Here is a 22491-nt window from a genome sequence, read left to right on the forward strand (position 1 = left end):
ACCTAGTCTTTGCCTTCAGAGGCCACCTACAGGCATTGCTCCATTCCTTCAGGGACAGAGCGTGTCAAACACTATGACCTCCCCAAGCAGGGCCTCCCTAAGACTTGCTTCAGCTGACTAATCAGGCACTTAGAGCTGTTACCTCTTTGGTTGAATGGGAGCAGACTGATTTTGTAAACCTGGCAGCCAAATTTATAATATGCCTGTCTGCTTGATTTTCAGGATAGCTTGGGCACTGTTGAACGGACCCAGGATTCCGAAGGCTCCTTCAAACTGGAGGATCCTACCGAGGTGACCCCAGGATTGAGCTTCTTTAATCCCGTCTGTGCCACCCCCAATAGCAAGGTAGGTGGGCTAAAAGGCAGGCATTGGAAAACTGGATTAGCGTCCTTCTCTGCATTATCTATGAGAGACCAGTAGGAGAGAGGCAGGTGGAGTAAAGGTGTAATCAGCTTGCTGGGAACTAGGGATCGGGCATAGACTCTAGTCTGGTTTTTTCCATAGAATGATCTTAAAGAACACTTCATACTACTGGGAGTATGTCGAGCATCTATAGCAGCTCGGCTGGGCTGAGCTTCTGCCCCTTTCTAAAGTCTATTCATACCTGTCTCTGTCCCTCCTAGATCCTGAAAGAGATGTGCGATGTGGAGCAGGTGCTGTCAAAGAAGACTCCCCCAGCTCCCTCCCCTTTTGACCTCCCAGAGTTGAAACATGTAGCAACAGAATACCAAGAAAACAAGGCTCCAGGGAAGAAAAAGAAACGGGCTCTGGCCAGCAACACCAGCTTCTTCTCTGGCTGCTCCCCTATCGAAGAAGAGGCCCACTGAAGTTGGAGTCATCATCTCTACCCCCAGTCTGGCTTGGGAGATGCTTTCAGGTTGCAGCCAGAAGGGGTTTTTTAAATGACTTCTCTGGATTTCAGGTTTCTTGCTGTTGAAAAAAGGAACAAAGCGTTACTGAAAAGAAGGTAACCTTTGTTGGATGTGGGCCTTAGCCTCCAGGTCCAGACTACTACTCTATGTTCTCCAGAAGGGTGCTAAGTCACCTACTGAAGAGAGAACCAACTGACTTTCCTATTGACTCATCAGGAACCAGTCCTCAGTCTGGTCAAGTTGTTTCTTATTTGTGAGCAGTTCAGGCTATCTCCTGATGGGGATGAGGCCAAGGCTTTCTTATCTTTTGGTTGTCTCTGCTTAATGGAGGAGCCTGGCCTAGGATGGAGGCCTGGCTTAGATCTTTCATTCCACCTCAGGAATGAGGTTGTGATCTTTCCTGTCCTGACCCTCTCTGAATTATGTTTCAATAGTACTCTTGATTGTCTGCCATGTTGTTGAAGCAAATGAATTATTTTTAAATGTTAAGTAAGTAAATAAACCTTAGCCCGTCTACTGTTTGGGAAGATCCTTCTGTGCTAGAGGGAGAAATAAAATTTCAACCTGTGTTCCTCAGCCCCTGAGGAAGCTATTAAGGGGATTCATTACAAGTACCTGAGCCTCCCTGCCTTATTGTAGCTGCCCTCTTTCCCAGAGGGTATTGTGGAGTGTGATGTGTCTTTATGTTGCTCTGCTACCCTAGGAAATCAGAATCGCGTTAGCAAGGCCAGTGGCCTGACCTCCACTGTAGAACCTGCCTGGCTTCCAGATTTGGGAGGAAGAAACCGCATTTACTAACCATCTCCATGTTCTTGCTACAGTTTTATTTGTTCTTCATACACACACAAAAAGGTCAACATAGATAGATGTCCTTATTTTGCAGATGAGGAAACTGGGGTATAAAGAAGTAACTTACCCAAAGTCACAAAGCTAGTGAGCAATAGAGCTAGGACCTGAACGCAGAGCTACCATCCAAGCTTCACTCTAGCCAACTCTCTAGAGTGCCAGCAGCAGCCACTTCTAATGCCCTGCAGCCTAATTTCTTAGTGTAGGAGGGGCGTTGCACCACACTGCTGTCCAGTCCCAGGACAGAACAGCACTGGCTCCTTGCATTCTCCTTTGAAAGATGCTTACGCCTTACAGTCTATCAGTGTTCTCTATCTCTGCTTAAAGCTAAAAGGGGGCCAGCCCTGGAATGCCATACACAAGCTGCTGACTGGCCTTGTAGCCTTCTGAGGTAGATGCTCACAAGCCCTGCGCTTCATATCCATGCATTCTGAATCCCAAAACCCTTCTCCCCAAAAAAGCTCCCAAACCATCCCCAAACACTCAAAAGCCAAGACTCCTCTAGAATCCACCAGAGCCCAAGCAAAAGAAATTGAGCAACAATCTGCCTAGAATGAAGCCTGCCATGGACTAGGTGACCTGCTGGTCCTCCCTGGCCTCCTGCCAGCAAGCAGCCCTGCTTCTCTTTGCATTTTAATGCCGAGGGAGCAAGGGAGCCTCTGCCATTGCCAACTAGAGCCTCTGGATACAATGGGAAGCCTGAGTGGGAGGGGGGCCAGCTCTTGGCATAAGAGAGCCAGTCTTCCTTCTCACTGTTTGAAATCCAGTGTGTGTTGGGGGAGGGGTAAGCAGGCTTATCCCCAGAGAAAACATCCTTTCCCACCAACACTGCACTAATAGCCCCCAGACCTCGAGTCACCACATCAGGCGTAATGTAGAGGGAGAGGTCAACCAAGCCAGCCCCTGGCCCCCATCCCACCCAGACCCCTGTGCTTTAGCACTAAGCAAACTATAGTGTGCTAGCCAGCCCTTCCCTGCTGATGCTGATGCTATAGTAACAGCATCTTTTCTATGTGTTCATCTTCCAAAAGCCTGTGACCCCAATATACTCTACACTCCTCAAAAGATTCTTGGAAAGAGACTCATATGCCTTAGGGACAAGGCAGCAGAAATGACACAAGTCCTGAATGAGCATCTCCTGTCTGGGGTGATGAGGGAAGGTGGGAGAACTGCTAGTGTCACCCAGGATCCACAAGGCCCATGGGGACCTCTGGTCCAGAAACGGCAACTTGCTATCCAGAGTTCAGGAAGTAGCTTGCAGCTTCTGTTGCCCAGGCTGGAGCACAGTAGCACAATCTCAACTCACTGCAGCCTCGACGTCCTGGGCTCAAGCAATCCTCCCACATCAGCCTCCCAAGTAGCTGGGACAAATGACCAAGGCTTGTCTTTGCTTTAAACCTGGCCTTGTGAGATGTCCCATGCAACTACCTAGTCTTTGGTAGGTGCACACCATCATGCCTGGCTAATTTTTGTATTTTTTGTAGAGACAGGGTTTCACCATGTTGGCCAGGCTGGTCTTGAACTCCTGACCTCAGGTGATCCACCCGCCTCGGCCTCCCAAAGTGTTGGGGTTACAGGTGTAAGACACCGCGCCAGGCTGCAGCTTCTTATACATGCACCTTGCTGAATTAGAAGTAGGAGCTCAATAGGGGAGGGAGCCTAATGAATCAAGGCTGTATTTCCAGGGAGCTTGAGACTTGATGTTAGGCTTACACACACGCACACACACACACACACACACGCCTTTCCAGTGGGCTGGCTGGGCCTCTTCTCCTCACTGCCAAGTTGCAAAGTTGTGTGGTCACCTCCCCCCCCCACACACACCAGCTTCCCGCCAGCCTGTGCCCTCAGCCCTCGCCTCCCTGAGCCAGGACAAAGCCCCGGCAGTGACTGGGAGGGGAACAGGAGGAGGGACAGAGGGATGGGAAAGCCTGCACAAAGGAATTCCTCACCCCAAGCCCCCTGACCGCCAGCGAGTAAAGAAGCAGATTTGCTCTCCCTCCCGCTTCCTCCCTCCCATCTTCCCACCCGGGCTGTGCCCAGGCCACAGAGCAGCTGCAGGCCTTGGGAGAGGACCCACACAGCCTCCTGTAGGTGGCAACAGTGCCACCTGTTTGACTCATAGGGCTGAACCGAGGACTGAAAAAGGGAGGAGGCAGACCACTCGGAGAGGAGCTGGGAAGCAGTGCAGAGAGGAGAGCGGAGCGGAGCTGCCGCTGAGCAAAGGTGTGAGGGTTCGGGAAGGCTGGGGGGCTACAGGTGGGAGCTGTGGAGCAGAGACCAGCTCCATCCCACTGGGATTGGGCCGGGGGATTGAATGGCACCCCTGTCAGCAACCCTACTTGGGGTTTTCAGGCTGCTCAGACCCTGATCCCATCCTACAGGCAGCTCCTGAAGGGAGGGGACTCTGGAAGGCAGTGTCTGGGGTGCAGGGGTAGGACCCCAGGGGAGGCAAGAGCTTAGAGCAGGCTATCAAACCAGCTCCAAGATGGGCAGAGGCAAGGGCTTCCCTTTGGGTTGGCTTTTTACCGGGAAGGGTCTCGTAGAGGGGAGGGGTTTCCTTCCCCCAGCTCCAGCTCCTCACCCCTACCCTAACCCTCCTTTCCCAAGGCAGCATAAAGAGGGCAGTTCAGAAGCAGCCACACCTTCCTGCTTACCGGACCCACCCACTGTGCACCCCTCTAAGACTCCATAGCCTCGGGAGAGCTCTGAGGACAAGAGGTCCTGTCCCTCAGCCCGCACGCACACATGCTCACACACTTTGGGTGTATCCAGGGGCTCCTTTACATACTCAAAGTCACCTAAAATCATATTGTACCGACAGCCAGTTGTGCTGTCGCGTGCAAATGCTGACACAAATCACATACCGTCTCGCGTAGAATCAGTCACGTACCCAGCCAAGTCTGGGGATCAGCTCAGTCAGCCAAACCCAGAAGCATAAGGTACAGGGGTCCCCTGCCCCAAGACAACCACACCCCGCATACACACCTTTGCCCTGCGTTTGTTGTACTTTCACCAAAGCTAACTTAGAGGGTGGGGCTCCTAAAGGCGAGTCTGGGCTTCTGGTTGGGGTTGGGGGATGACTGGGCAGGAAAGGGCAGGACTTGAGGGGAGGCTCTGTATTTTGAAAATCCAAAGATTCCTTTAGAAGACTGGGAGTGACCCAGGCAACATGTTCACCTCAAGTCTTTCTCTTTTTGGCAGTGCCCTTTGTCCCCTGAGAGGTGGACACAGAGAATCTTTCAGGGATTTGTGATCTGAATAATCTCTATAACCATAGCAACTGGCCAACTAGCTGGGCCTTCCTTAGCCCCAGGTCAGAACTGTAACCTTTGCTTCAGGTTACTCCTGCTTCCTGGGCTGGAAAGCAATTCAACATGGGGTTGCCTCCAGCTTGGCCAAACCTGCTTTAACTTGCTGAACTGAGTTTGTCCCACCCTGGGCAGTTTCTCTTGAGTTCTTACCCCCAGGGCAAGCACTCCATCCCCAGAGGTGTGTGCTGTTAAATGGGGAGGAGCTGGAGAGAGTGGATATGAATCCTGCCCGAAAAGAGGCTGGACCTCTTGGGTGTCCCACTGACTCTCCAGGTAACAAGATTAAAGGGAAACGAAGGCTCTGGAGACTGTCTCCCATTGCCAGGCTTGCAGCTGGGGCTGCTCGCCTCATCCACTCTGGCACTCTGGGCCTGCCCCGTGACCTCCGTTGCTGAGCAGCGGCCCAGGCCTCTGCCTCTCCCCCGGGCTCCTCAGATACACTAGGAGGGAGACTGGGATCTGCCCTCTGCCAGGGTCCCTGATGGTCGAGTGTCCCTTCCCCCAGGCCTTCACCATGGCCGAGTCCCCCGGCTGCTGCTCCGTCTGGGCCCGCTGCCTCCACTGCCTGTATAGCTGCCACTGGAGGAAATGCCCCAGAGAGAGGATGCAAACCAGCAAGGTGGAGTAGGGATGGAGGGGGGAGGCTGGAAGTCAGAAGGCAGAGGCTCACTGGAGGGGATAAGGAGGCCAATTGTGCTCATAGACAGCTTGGGGGAAGGGGCTCTCTCTCCCAGGAAGAAAATCTCCCTCAAATATGGAAAGAGCTGCCCCCCGAGCAGAGCAGCCCAACACGGGGCAGGCAGCTCCCTTTAGCTGCCACCCGTTGGGGACTCTGAGTTTGAAGTAGGTATTGGTTGTGAGTTTCTCTCCTGCCCCTTTGCAGTGCGACTGTATCTGGTTTGGCCTGCTCTTCCTCACCTTCCTCCTTTCCCTGAGCTGGCTGTACATCGGGCTCGTCCTTCTCAATGACCTGCACAACTTCAATGAGTGTGTCATGGATTCCCCCTGCTTCCCCAGCATACCTGTCAACCTGCTCCCCACCCTGGGACCCGGGGGTGGCCCACTGTCAGTCATCCCCCAGCCCTGCCCAGCTGCTCAAACCCAGCTCTGCTGCTACCCAATCTCCTTAGAAAATCCCTCCACAAAATCTCCTCAATCCTTGGAGCCCCTGGCCACGAGGGGCTTTCTCCTCACTCCCTTCTAGTCTTCCTGGATCCACCCACCCCACCTCCCCTCAGGCCACTATTGACACCCCTTCCCCCACTTGGACACCTCCCTCTCCCCTCCCACAGATTCCTCTTCCGCCGCTGGGGACACTGGATGGACTGGTCCCTGGCATTCCTGCTGGTCATCTCTCTACTGGTCACATATGCATCCTTGCTATTGGTGGGTCCGGAGGCCGCTGGCCTAACCCCACCTCAGCCTTCCTTCCTGCTTAGTTTTAGCTCCCTATTCTCATCCTGGCCACTGAGGGAGGGGGCTAATTCTTGGGTAGGAGGGAAGTACCAGCCTGGGAAGCCCACCTCAGTAACCTTGCTCCCCTCTTGGCACCCCATAAGTCCCACTGCTCTCTTCCTCTAGGTCCTGGCCCTGCTCCTGCGGCTTTGTAGACAGCCCCTGCATCTGCACAGCCTCCACAAGGTACAGTAGGGATGGGAGTGCATGGGAGAGGGGGCCACTGGGCTCAGCACTTGGCTGGCTATTTGCTGAGGACCTCACTTTTATACCCCCGGGGGGTCAAGCCCAGGACCTGAAGCCCAGTAAGTGTTGAGTGAAAGGAGGAAAGCAGATGTGTCAGGGGAAGGGAAGGGTCGGGTCCCATCTCTATAGAGTGAAGGAGCAGCTCACCAACCATGAGCCCAAATTGACCAAGAGGCCTCATTCATCCCTGGCCCCCCAGGTGCTGCTGCTCCTCATTATGCTGCTTGTGGCGGCTGGCCTTGTGGGACTGGACATCCAATGGCAGCAGGAGTGGCATAGCTTGCGTGTGTCACTGCAGGTGAGTGGCCAACCTCCAGTGTCTAGACGGGAGCCTTGGCTTGCAGCCAACCCTAGAACATATCTCGCTCCTGTTCCCCCAAGACTGCAGGTAGCTCTGAACTCCAGCAGTCAGGCCCTAAGAGGAAAGCGGGGAGGGGCACTGGAGAAGAGCCCACCTCACCAGCTCTTGTCCACAGGCCACAGCCCCATTCCTTCATATTGGAGCAGCCGCTGGAATTGCCCTCCTGGCCTGGCCTGTGGCTGATACCTTCTACCGTATCCACCGAAGAGGTGCCAACGCTGCTGCCCCACTCACCCTTGCTGGCCACTCATGCTCTGCCACCTGCACTCTGCCTTCCATCCCCAGAGCTCTCCCCTTGCCCATTCTTGAAAGCCTGTCCCCCACTCCCCACAGGTCCCAAGATTCTGCTACTGCTCCTATTTTTTGGAGTTGTCCTGGTCATCTACTTGGCCCCCCTATGCATCTCCTCACCCTGCATCATGGAACCCAGAGACTTACCACCCAAGCCTGGGCTGGTGGGACACCGAGGGGCCCCCATGGTGAGTGTTGGACAGAATGCTGGGAGGGTGGGGAGGGTCTGCTCGTTTGCACCATAGCGACCAGGCCTGTGGGTTCCCAGTCTCCCACCCTTCCCTGCTACCTCATCACCTATTCCCTTTCCCAGCTGGCTCCCGAGAACACCCTGATGTCCTTGCGGAAGACAGCTGAATGCGGAGCTACTGTGTTTGAGACTGATGTGATGGTCAGGTGAGGGAAGCTGGGGCTTAGGGGATCTGGGGGGCTGAAGGACATGATGACCAGCCCCAGAGCTTGGCCCTCTGACACCCCTTGTGCCCTCAGCTCCGATGGGGTCCCCTTCCTCATGCATGATGAGCACCTCAGCAGGACCACGAATGTAGCCTCTGTATTCCCAACCCGAATCACAGCCCACAGCAGTGACTTCTCCTGGACTGAACTGAAGAGACTCAATGCTGGATCCTGGTTCCTAGAGGTGAGGACAGCCTCTGCAAAGAGGCAGCCATCTGCAGGGACACTCAGAGAGGGCAGAGTTCATTCTGTTGATAAGCATTTGCTCAGCCCTGTGCTAGGCAATAAGAACATAGTCTGTGCTCTCAAGTCACTTCCACCTAGTAGAGAGCCTAGGCAGCAGACGATTCAGGAAACCCAGAGCAATAAAAACATTTTCCTGCCTGGGAGAGAATCAGGAGTGGATTCATACAGGAGAGGATGAAAGTCTTCTTCTAAGATGCACAAAGCAGGGAACAGGAACTCCTTCAGAGGGAAGAGGACACGTAAAGCCCAGAAGTCTGAAAAAGGGTGTTTCCAGGAATAAAATGTGGCTGAATGTAACTGAGAGAGACAATTCATGGGAGTGGTAGGGAGCAGAGGCTTGGCCTTGAAGAGCTCCGAATGCCTGGCCCAGAAGTGTCAACTTCAATCCTGTAAGTGGTACAAAATATTTAAAAGGATATTGAATTTTTTCAGTTCCTCTTCCCCTGATTGTAAAAGTAATACATGTTCATTGTAAAAAGTAAAACATCAGAGAAATAAGAAATAACATAGAAATCAAAGTCTCCCATAATCCAGTCCCTCTGAAATATTCACTGTTAACAGTTGGATACACACACACACACACACACACACACACTCACACAGTCCCCGACTTATGAGGTTCCACTTAATGATTTTTTTACTTTATGATGATTTGAGATTGATATACATTCAGTAGAAACTATACTTAAGAGTACCCATACAACAATTGTTTTTCATTTTCAGTACAATATTCAATACATCACATGAGATATTCAATACTTCATTATAAAATAGGCTTTGTGTTAGATGATTTTTGCCTAACTGTAGGCTAATGTAAGTTCTGAGCACACTTAAGGCAGGCTAGGTTAAGCTAGGATATTCAGTAGGTTAGGTATATTAAATGCATTTTTGATTTTCAATCTTTTCAATTTAAAATGGGTTTATCAAGACACAACTCCATCATAAGTCAAGGTGCATCTGCATACACAAACTCTCTCTCTCTCTCTCTATTTTGCACAGACAGAATCATTACACAGACTCTTTTGCAATTTGCTTCTTTTCCATTTAACTCTTTACATCATATCAGATCAGAGTGATTAACAGCAAAGGATGTCTGGGTTTAAACCCTGGCTATACCACTTACTGGCTGTGTGACCCGAGGCAGGATTTCTTAGTCTCTCTGTGCCTCAATTTTCTCATTTGTACAATGGGAATAATAACAGTACCTACCTTGTAGGGTTATTGGGAGGATTAAATCAGTCAATGCACATAAAGTACTTAGAACACTGCCTGGCACATAGTAAGTACTTAATAAGTGTTAGATAGCTAGCTTTATCCATGTCAGCAATTAGGAAGTGAGGTCATTCATTGAGAATAAGGAGAGGAGAGTAGCAGAGGCTTGGAATAACACTAGGGGGAATGGGAGAGGGAGCAAATCAAGAGCAAGTAAAAGGATTGTTAAGCAGCGCTGAGAGCGAAAAATAAGGACTGCAGTGCCAACAGCCCACATTGTGTACTCTGCCCATGGCAGCGCTCAGCCCCCAGTTCTAGGGGTGGAGGAGGCAGACAATTGTAGAATTGAATCAGAGTCTGGGAGTTGTAGGGCAAGTGGGACAGAAAGGGAGCTGAGAGTGCTATGGAAAAGTAGTTCAAGCTGTGGATGGACCATGGGTAAGGGATGTAGGTGCAGCTAGAAAGGGGCTGATGAACTGGGAAGAAACCAAAGGGTCAAGATTGCAGAGGTCTCCTTGAGACCAAAGAGAAGGTGTAGTGGGAGAGAGAAAGTTAGGAAACTGGAAGGGTAGGAGGTTGAGGTCACAGAGTAAGATGGTAGACGGTCTGGAAGAAGGCCACAGTTTGGAAAAAGGCCCTGGCTCAGAGGTGGAAAGAAGCTGGACACCAAGTGGAAGATATGAGTGAAGATAGTGAGGATGGGGGCAAGGCCTGGAAGCCTCTTCTGGTCTTGAAATAATTGTTCTTTCTTATAGAGGCGACCCTTCTGGGGGGCCAAACCGCTGGCAGGCCCTGATCAGAAAGAGGCTGAGAGTCAGACGGTACCAGCATTAGAAGAGCTATTGGAGGAAGCTGCAGCCCTCAACCTTTCCATCATGTTCGACTTGCGCCGACCCCCACAGAACCACACATACTATGACACTTTTGTGATCCAGACATTGGAGACTGTGCTGAATGCAAGGGTGCCCCAAGCCATGGTGATGTTGCCAGGACCCCCTCTCCCCACCCTGCCTTCCCTAGGCCATGATGATGAGGATGATTTTGAGGCTGCCCCTACCCCCAGGGCCCTGCCCCAGCTCACATACCCCATTCTGTGGTCAAAACTGTTTGCCCCTGTCCCTGCCCTTGGAATCCCTAGGTCTTCCCCAGCTTCACACCCATCCTTCCTGAACCACAGGTCTTTTGGCTACCAGATGAAGATCGGGCTAATGTCCAACGACGGGCACCTGGAATGCGCCAGATATATGGACGTCAGGGAGGCAACAGAACGGAGAGGCCCCAGTTTCTTAACCTCCCCTATCAAGATCTGCCACTATTGGATATCAAGTGAGTGCTAGAGGAAAGGAACCAAGGGGATCACATGAGGCTTAATGGCAGGGAAGAACCAGTTCAGGGAGAGCAAAGCCTCTTGATTCATTCACTCACACAAAAAGTATTTACAGAACACTTGCCATGTATCAGGTAGTATTGCAGGCTTTGGGGAAACAACACAGATAAGACAGACAAGGTTCCTGCTTTTGTGGAATACATGTACTACTGAAGAAAACAGAATAAACCACTTAACAAAATACATGCATATTGAAAAGTGAAAAAGTGTTATGAAGACAAAACAGAGAGATGTAGAAGAGTGGTTAGGTTTGGGAGTGATGGGCTGGGGCAGGGAGGTGGGTGCACCCACATTAGGAAGGCTGGTTAAAGAGGTGATATCTAAGCTGAGACCTGAATGGTCACAGGGAGCTAACTATGAGCTGCAGAACAGGAACAGCAGTCTAATGAGCAAGGGGAAGGGGAAGCTAGAGAAGCAGGCAGGGGCCAAATTGGGTAGGACCTTGTAGGCCACGGGAAGGATTTTATTCCACAACAGACATCAGGGTAAGAGAGCGTGAATCAGGGAGAGTCCCAGATGTGAGCTGAGCCCCAGAAGCTGACCCAGCTGAACCATGACAGACTTCAAAGCATCTGGTTGCTAAAGCCTCTTATAAGGTCCTTGTGTTCAGATAGAAAAATGTGAACTGAATGATAGCCCAGTTATCATACATATTTCTTTTTTTAATTTGAATTTTAATTAAAAAAATTTTTTTTAGAGATAGAGTCTCACTCTGTCACCAAGCCTGTAGTGCAGTGGCCTGATCAGAGCTCACTGCAGCTTTGAACTCCTGGGCTCAAGTGATCCTGAGTAGCTAGGACTATAGGCACACACCACTATGCAAGGCTATTTTTTTTTTTTTTTTTTTAGAGACAGGTTCCTACTACCTGCCCAGGCTGGTCTCAAACTACTGGCCTCAAGCAATCTTCCTGCCTCGGCCTCCCAAAGTGCTGGGATTACAGGCCTGAGCCACTGCCCCCCTCAGCCTCCCGGTTATAAGCATGAGCTATCTCACCTAGCTATGTAAGTATTTATTTCCCCGAGTTATCACCAAAGAGGAAGACATGACATAGGGTTTGGTTCTCACCTTAGTCTTGTCCTGGTCAATATCAGCTGCTAATCAACTGCTGATCATGTTTCCAAAAGATGTGAATTGGTATTGAATACACTGATGATGGAATCGAGGCCCTGAAAGGTCTAGGTGCTGTAAAAAGATAGGCCAAATCTAGCAAGATGAAATGCACCAGGGATAGATGGAAAGACCTCTATTTGGGGCCCAAAAGAATTTCAGTTGCACAAAGACCAGAGAGGAGACACTGGCATCAACAGGAACATGTGTGAAAAAGACCAGGGCTTTCATTGAACAGTATACCTAGTGAGTCATCAGTGGGATGTAACATTGCCGAAGGCTAACCTGACTCTGGACTACCTGAATACAGGCATAGTGCCCAGAGGACAGGAGGAGATAGTTTTGCTCTATTCAAAGGTGACCCAAGCTGGCTGGGCATGGTGGCTCCCACCTGTAATCCCAGCACTTTGGGAGGCCAAGGCAGGAGGTTCACTTGAGCCTAGGAGTTCAAGACTAGCCTGGGCAACATAGCAAAACCCCGTCTCTATAAAATAAAATAAAATAAAAACCAGCTGAACATGGTGGTGCCCACCTATAGTCCCAGCTACACTGGAGGCTGAGCCTAGGAGGTCAAGCTGCAGTGAGCCAAGACTGCCACTGCACTCCAGAGCAAGATCCTGTCTCAAAAAAAAAAAGGCTGGTCCAAGCCCATCTGGGATATTATTTTCAGAGACGGGCCCCATATTTTCAAAGGAACATTGATAAATTGGAATATATCATATTAGAGAGGCTTGTACAGGGAAGGAAATGATAAGAGTAATGGCTGAAGGAGCTGGGGCTGTGGGGCCTAGAGAAGAGAAGGCTCAGGGAGACAGGGCCTCTGCTCAGGACCCAGGGGAGAGACACATTGTGTGGCCCCAGATAGCAAAGCTAGGACCCATGGGTGGAATCCACCAGAAGACAGAGTTCAGCTATGAAAGGAAAATCATTGTTGGTCAGGGGCTGCTATGGAAAGGCAGAGCTGATACCTCCTTGGCAGTGGCACTGTAGATTCAAGCACAGGCAGGGGGCTGCCTCCCATGTCCTGTGCACCATGATTCTGGACATTCCCTATTTTCTTTCCCACCTTCACAGGGCATTGCATAAGGATAATGTCTCGGTGAACCTATTTGTAGTGAACAAGCCCTGGCTCTTCTCTCTGCTTTGGTGTGCAGGGGTGGATTCGGTCACCACCAACGACTGCCAGCTGCTGCAGCAGATGCGTTACCCTATCTGGCTTATTGTAAGGGCTCTGGGACTGTCACCTCTCCTCTTCTCCCATCCCTGGTTTTCCTTAACCCTGTCCCTCTCTTCCTTACTTATTTCCCCTGACATTCTACCCTTGGGGCCTTTTCCTATTTTCACAGACCCCTCAAACCTACCTAATCATATGGGTCATTACCAATTGTGTTTCCACCATGCTGCTTTTGTGGACCTTCCTCCTCCAAAGGTGAGTGCTTTGTGCCTCAGCTTTCTGGGTCCTTACTTTCTCCAGGGCCCTGGTGATGAGGCTGCTTCAGACTCACATATGCTGCCCAAGGCTTGGGGTCTCTTTAGTTCCTTTGAGATTCTTAGGCCCTTCCTTATACTATCAAATTGGCTTGAATGTAGGAAAGGCAGTTGGGGGGAGCAGGTGTGGGGGCTGGAAGGGCCTGCTTGAAGCTAGCTGAACTCATAATGGGAAGCTTTTCTCCCCACAGAAGATTTGTTAAGAAGAGAGGGAAAACTGGTAAGAACTTTCTCCCCTCACCTCATGTTTCTCCTCCTGTAGCTTTCCCCTTGCTTAACTCCCTAGATGACCCACCCTCCCCCTCCTCCCCAGGCTTAGAAACAGCAGTGCTGCTGACAAGGATCAACAATTTCATGATGGAGTGAATGCCCTGCCCTGCTTCCCCACCCAAGCCAGTCTACATTGCCCAAACAGCAAGGGTTGGAGAGTGGCTTAAGTGGAATGCTTCAGGGGTGGTGGGTTGCAAGTGGGGGGAGCTTTGCCAACAGGAGGTTTTGAACCATGAGGGCCCTCTGCCCAGGTGATGGGCATTCCCTAAGCTGCTATGGAATCTGCTCCCTTTGGGGTTTTGACCTGAGATGTTTGGGAAGAGAGTGAGTAATGAGAAGTTTCTCCTCAAATGAAACTAGAACAGAGGAAGTAAAAGGGAGATTGCTCGGATAATGTCTCAGACTTGTGTGCACGTGTTCTTGCATAGAAGGCACAGGGTGTGTCGGGGTGGGATAGCTTGGAAGAGGGACTGAAGGAGATAACGAAATGGTCTTTTCCGGAGAACTGTAAGATGATAGAGACACCATCGCCACTCCACGATGTACTGTCTTCCTCGACCCTTGCAGCTTAGCTGTTTTCCTGCCTAGAGGCTAGGAGCTGAAGAGCCCGTCTAGCCGTGTAATTCTGTGCTTACAGGTGGCTTTTTGCTGTGCGCAGCCTTTTCTTCAAGGCAGGTTGGTTCCTGTATCTTGTCTTAATCTGTTACTCAACGAATGTAATCTCCATTTGGTCACAGCCTAATCTTTTCGGCCCAGGGGCTGGGGAAAGGAGGCACCTTCCATCTACGGTTGGATGGGACACGACCTTGAGGGGCCATCAGGGGGAGATGGGAGGAGGTGGGTTGGAGGTGGGAGGAGAATCACCTGCGGCAATGAAGGACTCGCGGGAGGCTCGCGGGAGGCCCGCAGGAGAGCAGCCACCTCGGGGGCGTCCGGAGGCCGGGCGCGCGGTGCAGGGTTGCACTGTAGCTCCACCTTGTGGCCGCCCCAAGAGGAGGGCCGCATCCGTCGTCGCCGTGACGTATTTGCTGAATGCCACCTGTTTTCCGTGCCGCTTGGGGACTCGTGTCCTTGACTCAGGACTCCGAGGGCAAGGTCCGATTTCCACAAGTTTTCGCTCCTCTGGGCTGCGCGCAGGGTCCAATTTCCGGCCCAGCCTTCCCTTGGAGGAGCAAGTTCCCCAATGTGTTTGCGGCTCGGGAGTCCCTGGGCTCCGCAGCTAAGGTGGCCAGTGCGGAGCTGACGGAGGATGAAGAGTCTAGTAGAAGAAGGGAGGGGCTAAGCCAAAAATGGGGACAAGAGGGGCTCTGTGGTGACCCCACAGTCTTCCGCCACACCCACATTCGACCTAGTTCGTATCTCCACACGGAGGGAAGTAGAACTAAGGAGTCGGCCAGGTAGGGAGGTCGGGTTCTCGGTTCCTCCTCTCTCGCCAGACTGGGACCTGGGGCAGCACTGGCATCCTCGGGACAAGACCCGCCCCCCACCCTCGGTTGCCGGGCAGCCGCGGGAACTACAATTCCCAGTGAGTCCCCGGCCATTTCCGGTATCTGGCTGGACGCAGGCGAGTTTGAATCCGTGTTCCCGCCCCCTTCTCCCGGGCCCACCCCTTTCCTTTCTGGCCGCCCCGCCCTCTCCGTGCGCATCCCTGCACACTCCGGCTCCGGAGGCCGGCCGCGCCCACGTACCTGACCTGCAGCTGGCGCGGTGGGCGGGGGTGCCAGCATGCGACGCACGGGGAGGCTGGAGGCGCGCGGAGAGCGAACGCCGCAATCCGGTCCTGGTCCTGGTCTTCCTGGGAGTCCACGCCGCTGTGTACCGGGCAGGTCTCTCCTACACTCTGCCTTTTCGAGCAGCATTTCCTTACTTTTCCTGGTTCCCGATCCATCCCCTCTCTTTCAGGCTGGCTACCAGCCTTAGCTCTAGGGCCCCCAGTCTGCCCGGTACTGCCGGGCTGTCACCTCTCAGCACGTACCTCCTCCCCCATCCCTACTTTTCTGTCCCTTCCCAATCGCCCAGTCTCTTCCTCCCCTCACCTCCCAACCTCACCCTGAAGACCTCCAGCAACTCCATCCCTGCAGCCCCAACCTCTCAGCTCTCACACTCTCAGCTGCGGCCCTCTAAACCCAGCGTCTGGCCCCCCAACCCAGCGCCAGCCTCTGACCCCTTTCTCCTAGCCCCTAGCCTTGGGTACGCAGCCTTGAGCCTGCCACCGGAAATCCTCACTCTCTTCCCAGGAGAACTGGACAGCTAAAGCGGTTTAACCTATAGGCCCTGGGCCCTGGGCTGGAGACTGACACTGACAAAAACTTAAGGGCGGAGGACCCGGGGGAGCTGCTCATTGGGGTTCGGATGTAGTTGCTCTTCGTTATTTTTAGCTGCTGACTCACAGCTCCTGGCATCCGGGTTTGGGGCTAGCAGGCTGGGCTAGGGGGCTATTAATAGAGCAGGAGCACAGCCCCGACCCAGTTCAGTTTGGAAACACAGAGAGCAAGAAGCGTCCCCTGCCACTATGCCCTGTGGAGATGTGGACTGAGCAGTGGCTGGGCCAGATGCTGTCTGGATGCTAGTTACCTCACCCTGGTATCTCTACCTTGGAACTCTTGAGGGAAACCCCACGAGGAGACTCCTGGGCACAGCTCTCCCCTAAGCTCGCCATGGCTTGGGGCTCTGCCACAATCAAGCTTCTGTTGTACTAGCCGAGAAGGCAGAGATGCGTCCCAAGTGGAAAGATTGTTTTGGTCATGGCCTTGGCCTGCCTGGACCCACTCCTGGGCCAGAATGCTAGGTTACTAGAAGGAAAAGCTATGGATTTCTGGTCCCCCACAGCCTTCATAAGGATGGAGTGCTTCAGCATGGTCCTAACACAGGGGGCACAGAGCTGGGGATCCCCAAACCAGACACAGAGCTCAGAAGCTGCCAGATTCTGTGCTTATCACACCCCCAACCCCGCCATTCTTTTTATTTCTTTCCATTTTGTTGAGCTCTGTCCCAACTCACAGGGATTTACAGACCTCATGATCTCTCCCTTGTCTGGAGAGAAACCGTATTCATGAAAGCCACTGCTTGTCCCCAATGAGGTATGAATGATCCTTTATATATTGTCATTCCCATTGACCTTTTTATTTTAATGGGCTAACGTAAGAGTTTCCTAATGTATACATTGGGAATCGTGAGGAAATCTTGATGGACTGATCAAAATTATTCCCACGCAAGCTCAATTTTCTAGAATTCCCATTGACTAAGGGTGCACACCCACAACAATGCTCCTCCCCTCCTTGCAAATCAGAAACTTCCACCTTCATCGACCCGAGTCTCCAGCCCCCAGATGAAACCACATTTGGGGCAAGAGTGATCGTTTCACCACGCACAATATGGAGGTCACTCAGTGAAGCTCTATTTTCAAGAATGAGCCCAGCTTATCAGACAGACAGCAGCAGACCGCGCGGTCCCAACCCCGTCTACTTGCTGAAGGAGCCGGAGTGGCGGTGGAAGGGGAGATAAATGGTCTCTCTGCTTGAAAATCCGTTCCTGAAGTCCTCCATCGCCTGGTTGCCTAGCAACCAGAGCTGCTTGCAGCGGTGTGGGGCGCTTTTGGTCCGTAGGGGGCGACTGTCTCCCTGGGGTCTCAGGCTGGAGCCCTAGCAGTTGGGAGGGAGGTTCCCTAGTTAAGTGTCACAGTGTCTCAGTGTGGCTGACCTCCTCCCAGCCTTGTCAACCCAGTCCGGTCTGAGCGGCAGGGAGCCTATGGAATGAGGAGAAGCCCACTATGAGTCTGAAGGGATTTTGCTCACAATCATTAAAAATGAAGAGAGAGAGGGTGGGAGGAAGGGAGGAAGGAACCTGTTAAAGGGGATAGGGCAAAAAAGGGGGTAAGGAAGGGGCCTGAGGAGGGTAGTTTGACCCTCTCCATTCAGTCGAGGCTTATCAATGCTTATTTTTCAATCAGAGCAGTTCAGAGGTTGAAAGGAGTCTAGCAATCTCTATTGACAAACTGTTAAGCATATAAAAGACTAGGCTCCTGGGTTACCAGCCTAGCCTAGATTTGGTCATTAAGGAAGATATTCATTCATTCATATGACCATAATTAACACTAACCCACTATGTACCACGTGGTGTGCTAAGTGTCCTACATTTAACCCTCACAAGAACACTGTGATTATTTCCTTTTCACAGATTACAATACCAAGTCTCAGAGAGGTTAAGTAATGTCCAGACTCACAAAAATAGTGACTGGATTGGGTCTGATTGAGCAATCACTGTGTGCCAAGTCTAGGAGTACAGAAAACAATACATTTCTTTTTTCTGTCTAATGAACGCCCAGTCACCCTTTGGGACAAAACTGAAAATATCATCTGCTTTGTGAAACTTTTCTTAAGTCCCCTTCCCCCCAACAAGCAGAACTGATAACTTGCTTTTCTGTACACCCTCCTGAAATACCACTTTTCACAGGTATGGTAATGATCTGCTTCCATATTTCCATTTCTTTCACTTTGAGCACCTTGGTGGCAGGGCCTGTGTTCATCTCCAATTGGACATCTAACAAACATCCCAAACTCAACATGTTCGTTTCTGAACAGCTGACCTTTTCCCCCAAAAATGACCCCTCCTAAAACTGTCCTCATCTCAGTTGATGGCAATTTCACATTTCCAGTTGTCCTGGCAAAAAATCCTTGGAACCACACCTTGTATCCAATCTGTCAGCAAATCCTGTCAGCTCTCCCTTCCAAATACACCCAGAATCCAACCACTTATCATCTCTGGTGCTACCACACTGGTCCAAGGCACAACCACCTCTCAGCTGGATCACTTCAGCAGCTGCCTGACTAGTCTCACTGCTTCCACCCTCGCCCCTGTGGCCTATTCTCTGCAAAGAAGCTATACCAATCCTGCTAAACCCAAGTCACGTCATGCCAGTTCTCTGCACGAAACCCTCCAATGGCACTCCATCTCTCTGAGAGGAAAGCCAAAATCTTTTCAGTGGTCTACAAGGTCCTACACAATCTAGTCCCTTATTCAATCTCTGATCTCGTCTCCTGGCGTTCTCCCCTCCCTTACTCTGTTAAAGCCACTTGATTCTCCTTGCTGTTCCTTGAGCAAGTCGGATGCACTCCTTACCAGGACCTTTGCACTCCTTACCAGGACCTTTGCACTGGCTTCCCCCTGCATGGCTCACTTCCTCACCTCCCTCAATTCTTTGCTGAAATGCCACGTTCTCAGTGAAGCCTACCCTGACCAACCTATTTAAGATTCCCTCTATTTTAATTTCCAGTTTACAGTAAATACAGGGTACAATAGTCCTCCTTTATCCATGGGGAATATGTTCCAAGACCCCCAGTGGATGCCTGAAACAGCAGATAGTACCAAACCCTATATATACTATATTATTCTGAAGTGATAACCAAGATGGCTACTAAGTGACTTATAGGTGGGTAGTGTATGCAGTGTGGATACACTGGACAAAGGGATGATTCACATCCTGGGCGGGATGGAGCAGGACAGCACAAGATTTCATTACATAACGGCATACTATTTAAAACTTATAAATTGTTTATTTCCGGAACTTTCCATTTAATATTTTCAGACTGCAGTTGACCATGGGTAACTGAAACTATGGCAAGTTAAAACCATGAATAAGAGGGAGAGTACTGTATAAAGGAACGAGATAAATGACACCATGAGGAAAAAGACAAATCCAAAACAATTGACTGGCACTCTTCAAAAACTCGATGTAGTTAATTTTTTAAAAAAGATGGAAGACTTCCAGTTATGGACCCAGTTAGAGTAGACACACTTCTCCCTATTCCTCACACTAAGTACAGCTAAAACTCTGGACATTATATATAAGACAAACATAAGAAGACTATGAAAGAAGAGGAAGGGGGCAGACTAACTAGGAACCCCAGTGACCTGAACTCGAGGTGATGAGTTCCCTGGGTTTTCTCGTTGTATCAAATATTCCAGATCAGGTACTGGAGAAGCCAGCAGCCTGGAAATGCCAATGGGCACAGACAAAAAAAATGCAAACACCAGTAACTGGCCTATTCTCTCTAGCCATAAGACCAGGAAATGGAATTTAGCCAGACAGAAAACTCTTAGACAATAACCACCACTGCAACCACACACCACAGAAAAAAAAAAAAAAAAAAAAAACTGCAGCTGCACCCAAGCCAGCAAAGGCCAAGTAGATAACCCAGATTTTCACTCTGGCCAGGCTCCCCCGTACTCTCTGGGGTAGTGTCAGAGAAGGCTGAGTAGAGAGCCTAAACTTCCATCCCTGAGGGGTAACAAGAACCCCTTCCTGTTGGGTGGTGTCAGTGTCAGAGAAGCCTGGTGGTGAGTCAGGACTTTTACCACAACATATCATTTGATGAGGCCATTAGCCTCCCTCTCCTCCCCTCCCAAAATCTCTCCACCTCCTGACTGTGGTGTTAGTGGAAGCCCACCTGGGGAACAGTAAAAAGGCACTTCTGCCCCTTCCAGCTAGAGAGGCATCAGTAGAGGCATAGTAGGGAGCTGGAATTTTTACCCCTGCACAGTAGAAAGGAGAAGCCTCCACCACACATACCAACCAAGACCAAGGAGGGAAATTGAACTTGAACCTCTACCCGGCAGTAACCAGGCAGTGGCCCTTTCCTCTGATGAAAATCGTGTCAGAAGAAGCCTACCAGAAACAAAAGATGTAAATGAAATCCAGAGTCTCATACTGTAATATCCAAAAATTCCCAGGATGCAATAAAAATCACTCTATATCTAAGCCCAGCACCTATAGTCCCAGTTATTCAGGAGGCTGAGTTGGGAGAATCACTTGAGCCCAGGAGTTCAAGGTCAGCTTGGGCAACATAGTGAGACCCTGTGTCCTTTTTTTTTTTTTTTTTTGAGACGGAGTCTTGCTCTGTCGCCCAGGCTGGAGTCAGTGGCGCAATATTGGCTCACCGCAACCTCCGCCTCCCGGGTTCAAGCGATTCTCCTGCCTCAGCCTGCTGAGTAGCTGGGACTACAGGCACCCGCCACCACGCCCAGGCAATTTTTGTATTTTTAGTAGAGACAGGTTTCACCATATTGACTAGGCTAGTCTCGAACTCCTGACCTTGTGATCCACCCGCCTCGGCCTCCCAAAGTGCTGGGATTACAGGTGTGAGCCACTGCGCCCAGCCGACCCTGTGTCTTAAAAAAAAAAAAAATTCACTCATTATACCAAGAACCAGGAGACCCTCAATTTGAATGAGAAAGAGAAAGATTTCAACTACCTGACAAAGATTCTAAAGTGGCCAACATTAAAAAAAATGCTTCTATGAGCAATCTATGAGCAATTACAAACAAGGTTAAAACGAATGTAAAAAATAGTAAGTCTTGGCAAAGAAATAAGAGATATAATGAAGAATCAAATAAAATTTTAGAACAAACTATAATAACCAAACTAAAAAACTCAGTAGATGAGCTCAAAAGGAGGATGGAGAGGACAGAGGAAAGAATCAGTGAACATAAAGATAGAACATTAGAAATTACCCAATCTGAACAACAATGAGAAAATAATAGACAAAAAATAAATGAACAGAGCTGGGCACAGTGGCTCACGCCTGTAATCCCAGCACTTTGGGAGGCTGAGGTGGGCAGATCACTTGAGCCCAGGAGTTCAAGACCAGCTTGGGCAACATGGCGAAACCCTGTCTCTATTAAAAATACAAAAATTAGCTGGATGTGGTGATGCACACCTGTAGTCCCAGCTACTCAGGGGGCTGAGGTGGGAGGATCACCTGAGCTTGGGAGATCGGGGCTGCAGTAAGCTGTGATTGTGCCACTACATTCTAGCTTGGGTGACAAAATGAAACAGAGTCTCAAAGAAAAAAAAATGAACAGAGCCTCAGGGATGCTTGGGACTATAACGAAGGACTTAACATTCACATAATTGGAGATGTGGAAGAAGAAGAGAAAGAGCATGGGGCTAAAAAAAATTACTCAAGAAATAATGGCTGAAAATTTGGCAAAAGACATAAATGAACAGGTTCAAGAGGTTGAACAAACCCCAAATAGGATAAACTCAAATTCACCCCAAGGCACATCATAATCAAACTTCTGAAAACTGAAGATGGGAAACTTGAAAGCAGCAAGAGAGAAACAACACCTTACCTACATAGGAAAAGGAATTCAAATGTGGCCAGGTACAGTGGCTAACACCTGTAATTCCAATACTTTGGGAGGCCAAGGTGGGAGGATAACCCAAGGCCAGGAGTTTGAGACCAGCCTGGGCAACATAATGAGACCTCGTCTCTACTAAAAATAAAAAAATTAACCAGGAGTGGTGTGCGCCTATAGTCCCACCTACTGAGGAGCCTGCTTGGGAGACTGAGGCAGGAGGATCACTTTGAGGCCAGGAGTTTCAAGGCTGCAGTGAACTATGGTCACACCACTGCACTCCAGCATGCTATATCTGGTGAAAATATCCTTCAGGAATGAGGGGGAAATCAAGACATTCTCAGACAAAGGAAAGCTAAGATAATTTGTTGCCAGCAGACAAAGAATGGCTAAAGGAAGTTATCAAAACTTACAGATGAATAATGGAACCATTTACATGTAATGAAACTTACATGTAAATGGTTCAGAAAAAGGGATAGATAGATAGATAGATAGATAGATAGATAGATAGAGCATTAACTGGGCATGGTGGCACACACCTGTGGTCCCAGCCACTTGTGAGGCTGAGGTGGGAGGATTGCTTGAGCCCGGGAGTTTGAGGTTGCAGTGAGCCATGATCACGCCACTGCACTCTAACCTGAGTGAGTGAGCAAGACCTACTCTTTAAAAAATATAGATAGATGGATAGATACATAGATACATAGACAGAGCAAATATAACAATCAAAACAAGTCAAATTGTCGACTTGATAAGGAAGGCATACAGTGGTGTCCATTGTACTACTCTTCCAATATTTTTGTATG

The 22491-nt window shown here is 50.2% G+C and overlaps 2 protein-coding genes and 1 long non-coding RNA gene across 7 annotated transcripts in view, besides 7 other annotated features; 2 read left to right on the top strand and 1 right to left on the bottom strand.

Moving 5' to 3' along the window:
• KIF4A (kinesin family member 4A) overlaps positions 1–1448 on the top strand; it is a 130783-nt gene extending 129335 nt beyond the window's left edge. Inside the window, exons 30-31 of the mRNA NM_012310.5 lie at positions 223–345; positions 624–1448. Coding sequence (NP_036442.3) covers positions 223–345; positions 624–827 — 327 coding nt within the window. The 3' untranslated portion in view covers positions 828–1448. The remainder of the gene's footprint in view (positions 1–222; positions 346–623) is intronic.
• Positions 2842–3830: an enhancer, noted in NCBI's record as "H3K27ac-H3K4me1 hESC enhancer chrX:69642130-69643118 (GRCh37/hg19 assembly coordinates)". NCBI's record gives its function as "activates a minimal SCP1, AML or CMV promoter by ChIP-STARR-seq in primed H9 embryonic stem cells {active_cell/tissue: H9 hESC(primed)}" and the evidence as "EXISTENCE:reporter gene assay evidence [ECO:0000049][PMID:30033119]".
• Positions 3831–4819: an enhancer, noted in NCBI's record as "H3K27ac-H3K4me1 hESC enhancer chrX:69643119-69644107 (GRCh37/hg19 assembly coordinates)". NCBI's record gives its function as "activates a minimal SCP1, AML or CMV promoter by ChIP-STARR-seq in primed H9 embryonic stem cells {active_cell/tissue: H9 hESC(primed)}" and the evidence as "EXISTENCE:reporter gene assay evidence [ECO:0000049][PMID:30033119]".
• GDPD2 (glycerophosphodiester phosphodiesterase domain containing 2) lies at positions 3876–13943 on the top strand. Of its 5 annotated transcripts, NM_001171192.2 has the most exons (17): positions 3876–3944; positions 5538–5651; positions 5916–6019; positions 6325–6418; positions 6614–6673; positions 6933–7031; positions 7210–7303; positions 7428–7573; positions 7699–7781; positions 7875–8025; positions 10055–10276; positions 10477–10625; positions 11536–11688; positions 12869–13016; positions 13141–13223; positions 13474–13502; positions 13596–13943. In NM_001171192.2, exons 2-17 carry the CDS (start codon positions 5547–5549, stop codon positions 13646–13648), a joined length of 1773 nt encoding a protein of 590 aa, NP_001164663.1. In that variant the 5' UTR covers positions 3876–3944; positions 5538–5546; the 3' UTR covers positions 13649–13943. The 5 variants fall into 5 exon arrangements, with proteins under 5 accessions (NP_001164663.1, NP_060181.2, NP_001164664.1 ...); NM_017711.4 differs by lacking the exon at positions 11536–11688; NM_001171193.2 differs by lacking the exons at positions 5538–5651; positions 11536–11688.
• LOC105373244 (uncharacterized) lies at positions 7923–15855 on the bottom strand. Its single transcript, NR_171576.1, has 3 exons — positions 15241–15855; positions 14417–14810; positions 7923–8474 (listed from the first exon to the last, which is right to left on the bottom strand). It is a non-coding gene; the product is annotated as an uncharacterized LOC105373244 (long non-coding RNA).
• Positions 14804–14913: an enhancer, noted in NCBI's record as "active region_29731". NCBI's record gives its function as "activates an Ori minimal core promoter by ATAC-STARR-seq in GM12878 lymphoblastoid cells {active_cell/tissue: GM12878}" and the evidence as "EXISTENCE:reporter gene assay evidence [ECO:0000049][PMID:35858748]".
• Positions 15064–15313: a silencer, noted in NCBI's record as "silent region_20890". NCBI's record gives its function as "represses an Ori minimal core promoter by ATAC-STARR-seq in GM12878 lymphoblastoid cells {active_cell/tissue: GM12878}" and the evidence as "EXISTENCE:reporter gene assay evidence [ECO:0000049][PMID:35858748]".
• Positions 15774–15873: an enhancer, noted in NCBI's record as "active region_29732". NCBI's record gives its function as "activates an Ori minimal core promoter by ATAC-STARR-seq in GM12878 lymphoblastoid cells {active_cell/tissue: GM12878}" and the evidence as "EXISTENCE:reporter gene assay evidence [ECO:0000049][PMID:35858748]".
• Positions 15894–15973: an enhancer, noted in NCBI's record as "active region_29733". NCBI's record gives its function as "activates an Ori minimal core promoter by ATAC-STARR-seq in GM12878 lymphoblastoid cells {active_cell/tissue: GM12878}" and the evidence as "EXISTENCE:reporter gene assay evidence [ECO:0000049][PMID:35858748]".
• Positions 15961–16461: an enhancer, noted in NCBI's record as "H3K4me1 hESC enhancer chrX:69655249-69655749 (GRCh37/hg19 assembly coordinates)". NCBI's record gives its function as "activates a minimal SCP1, AML or CMV promoter by ChIP-STARR-seq in primed H9 embryonic stem cells {active_cell/tissue: H9 hESC(primed)}" and the evidence as "EXISTENCE:reporter gene assay evidence [ECO:0000049][PMID:30033119]".

The sequence above is a fragment of the Homo sapiens genome, chromosome X, assembly GCF_000001405.40.
Source record: "Homo sapiens chromosome X, GRCh38.p14 Primary Assembly".
In the NCBI taxonomy this organism is placed as follows: domain Eukaryota; kingdom Metazoa; phylum Chordata; class Mammalia; order Primates; family Hominidae; genus Homo; species Homo sapiens.

What these genes read in the sequence shown, in the direction of transcription:
- GDPD2 (NM_001171192.2), top strand. Translation starts at nt 5,547, where the DNA reads ATGGCCGAGTCCCCCGGCTGCTGCTCCGTCTGGGCCCGCTGCCTCCAC. An exon ending in GACCTGCACAACTTCAATGA is followed by an intron (nt 6,020 to 6,324) that starts GTGTGTCATGGA and finishes CCCCTCCCACAG; the next exon opens with ATTCCTCTTCCGCCGCTGGG. An exon ending in TGGACCTTCCTCCTCCAAAG is followed by an intron (nt 13,224 to 13,473) that starts GTGAGTGCTTTG and finishes TTCTCCCCACAG; the next exon opens with AAGATTTGTTAAGAAGAGAG.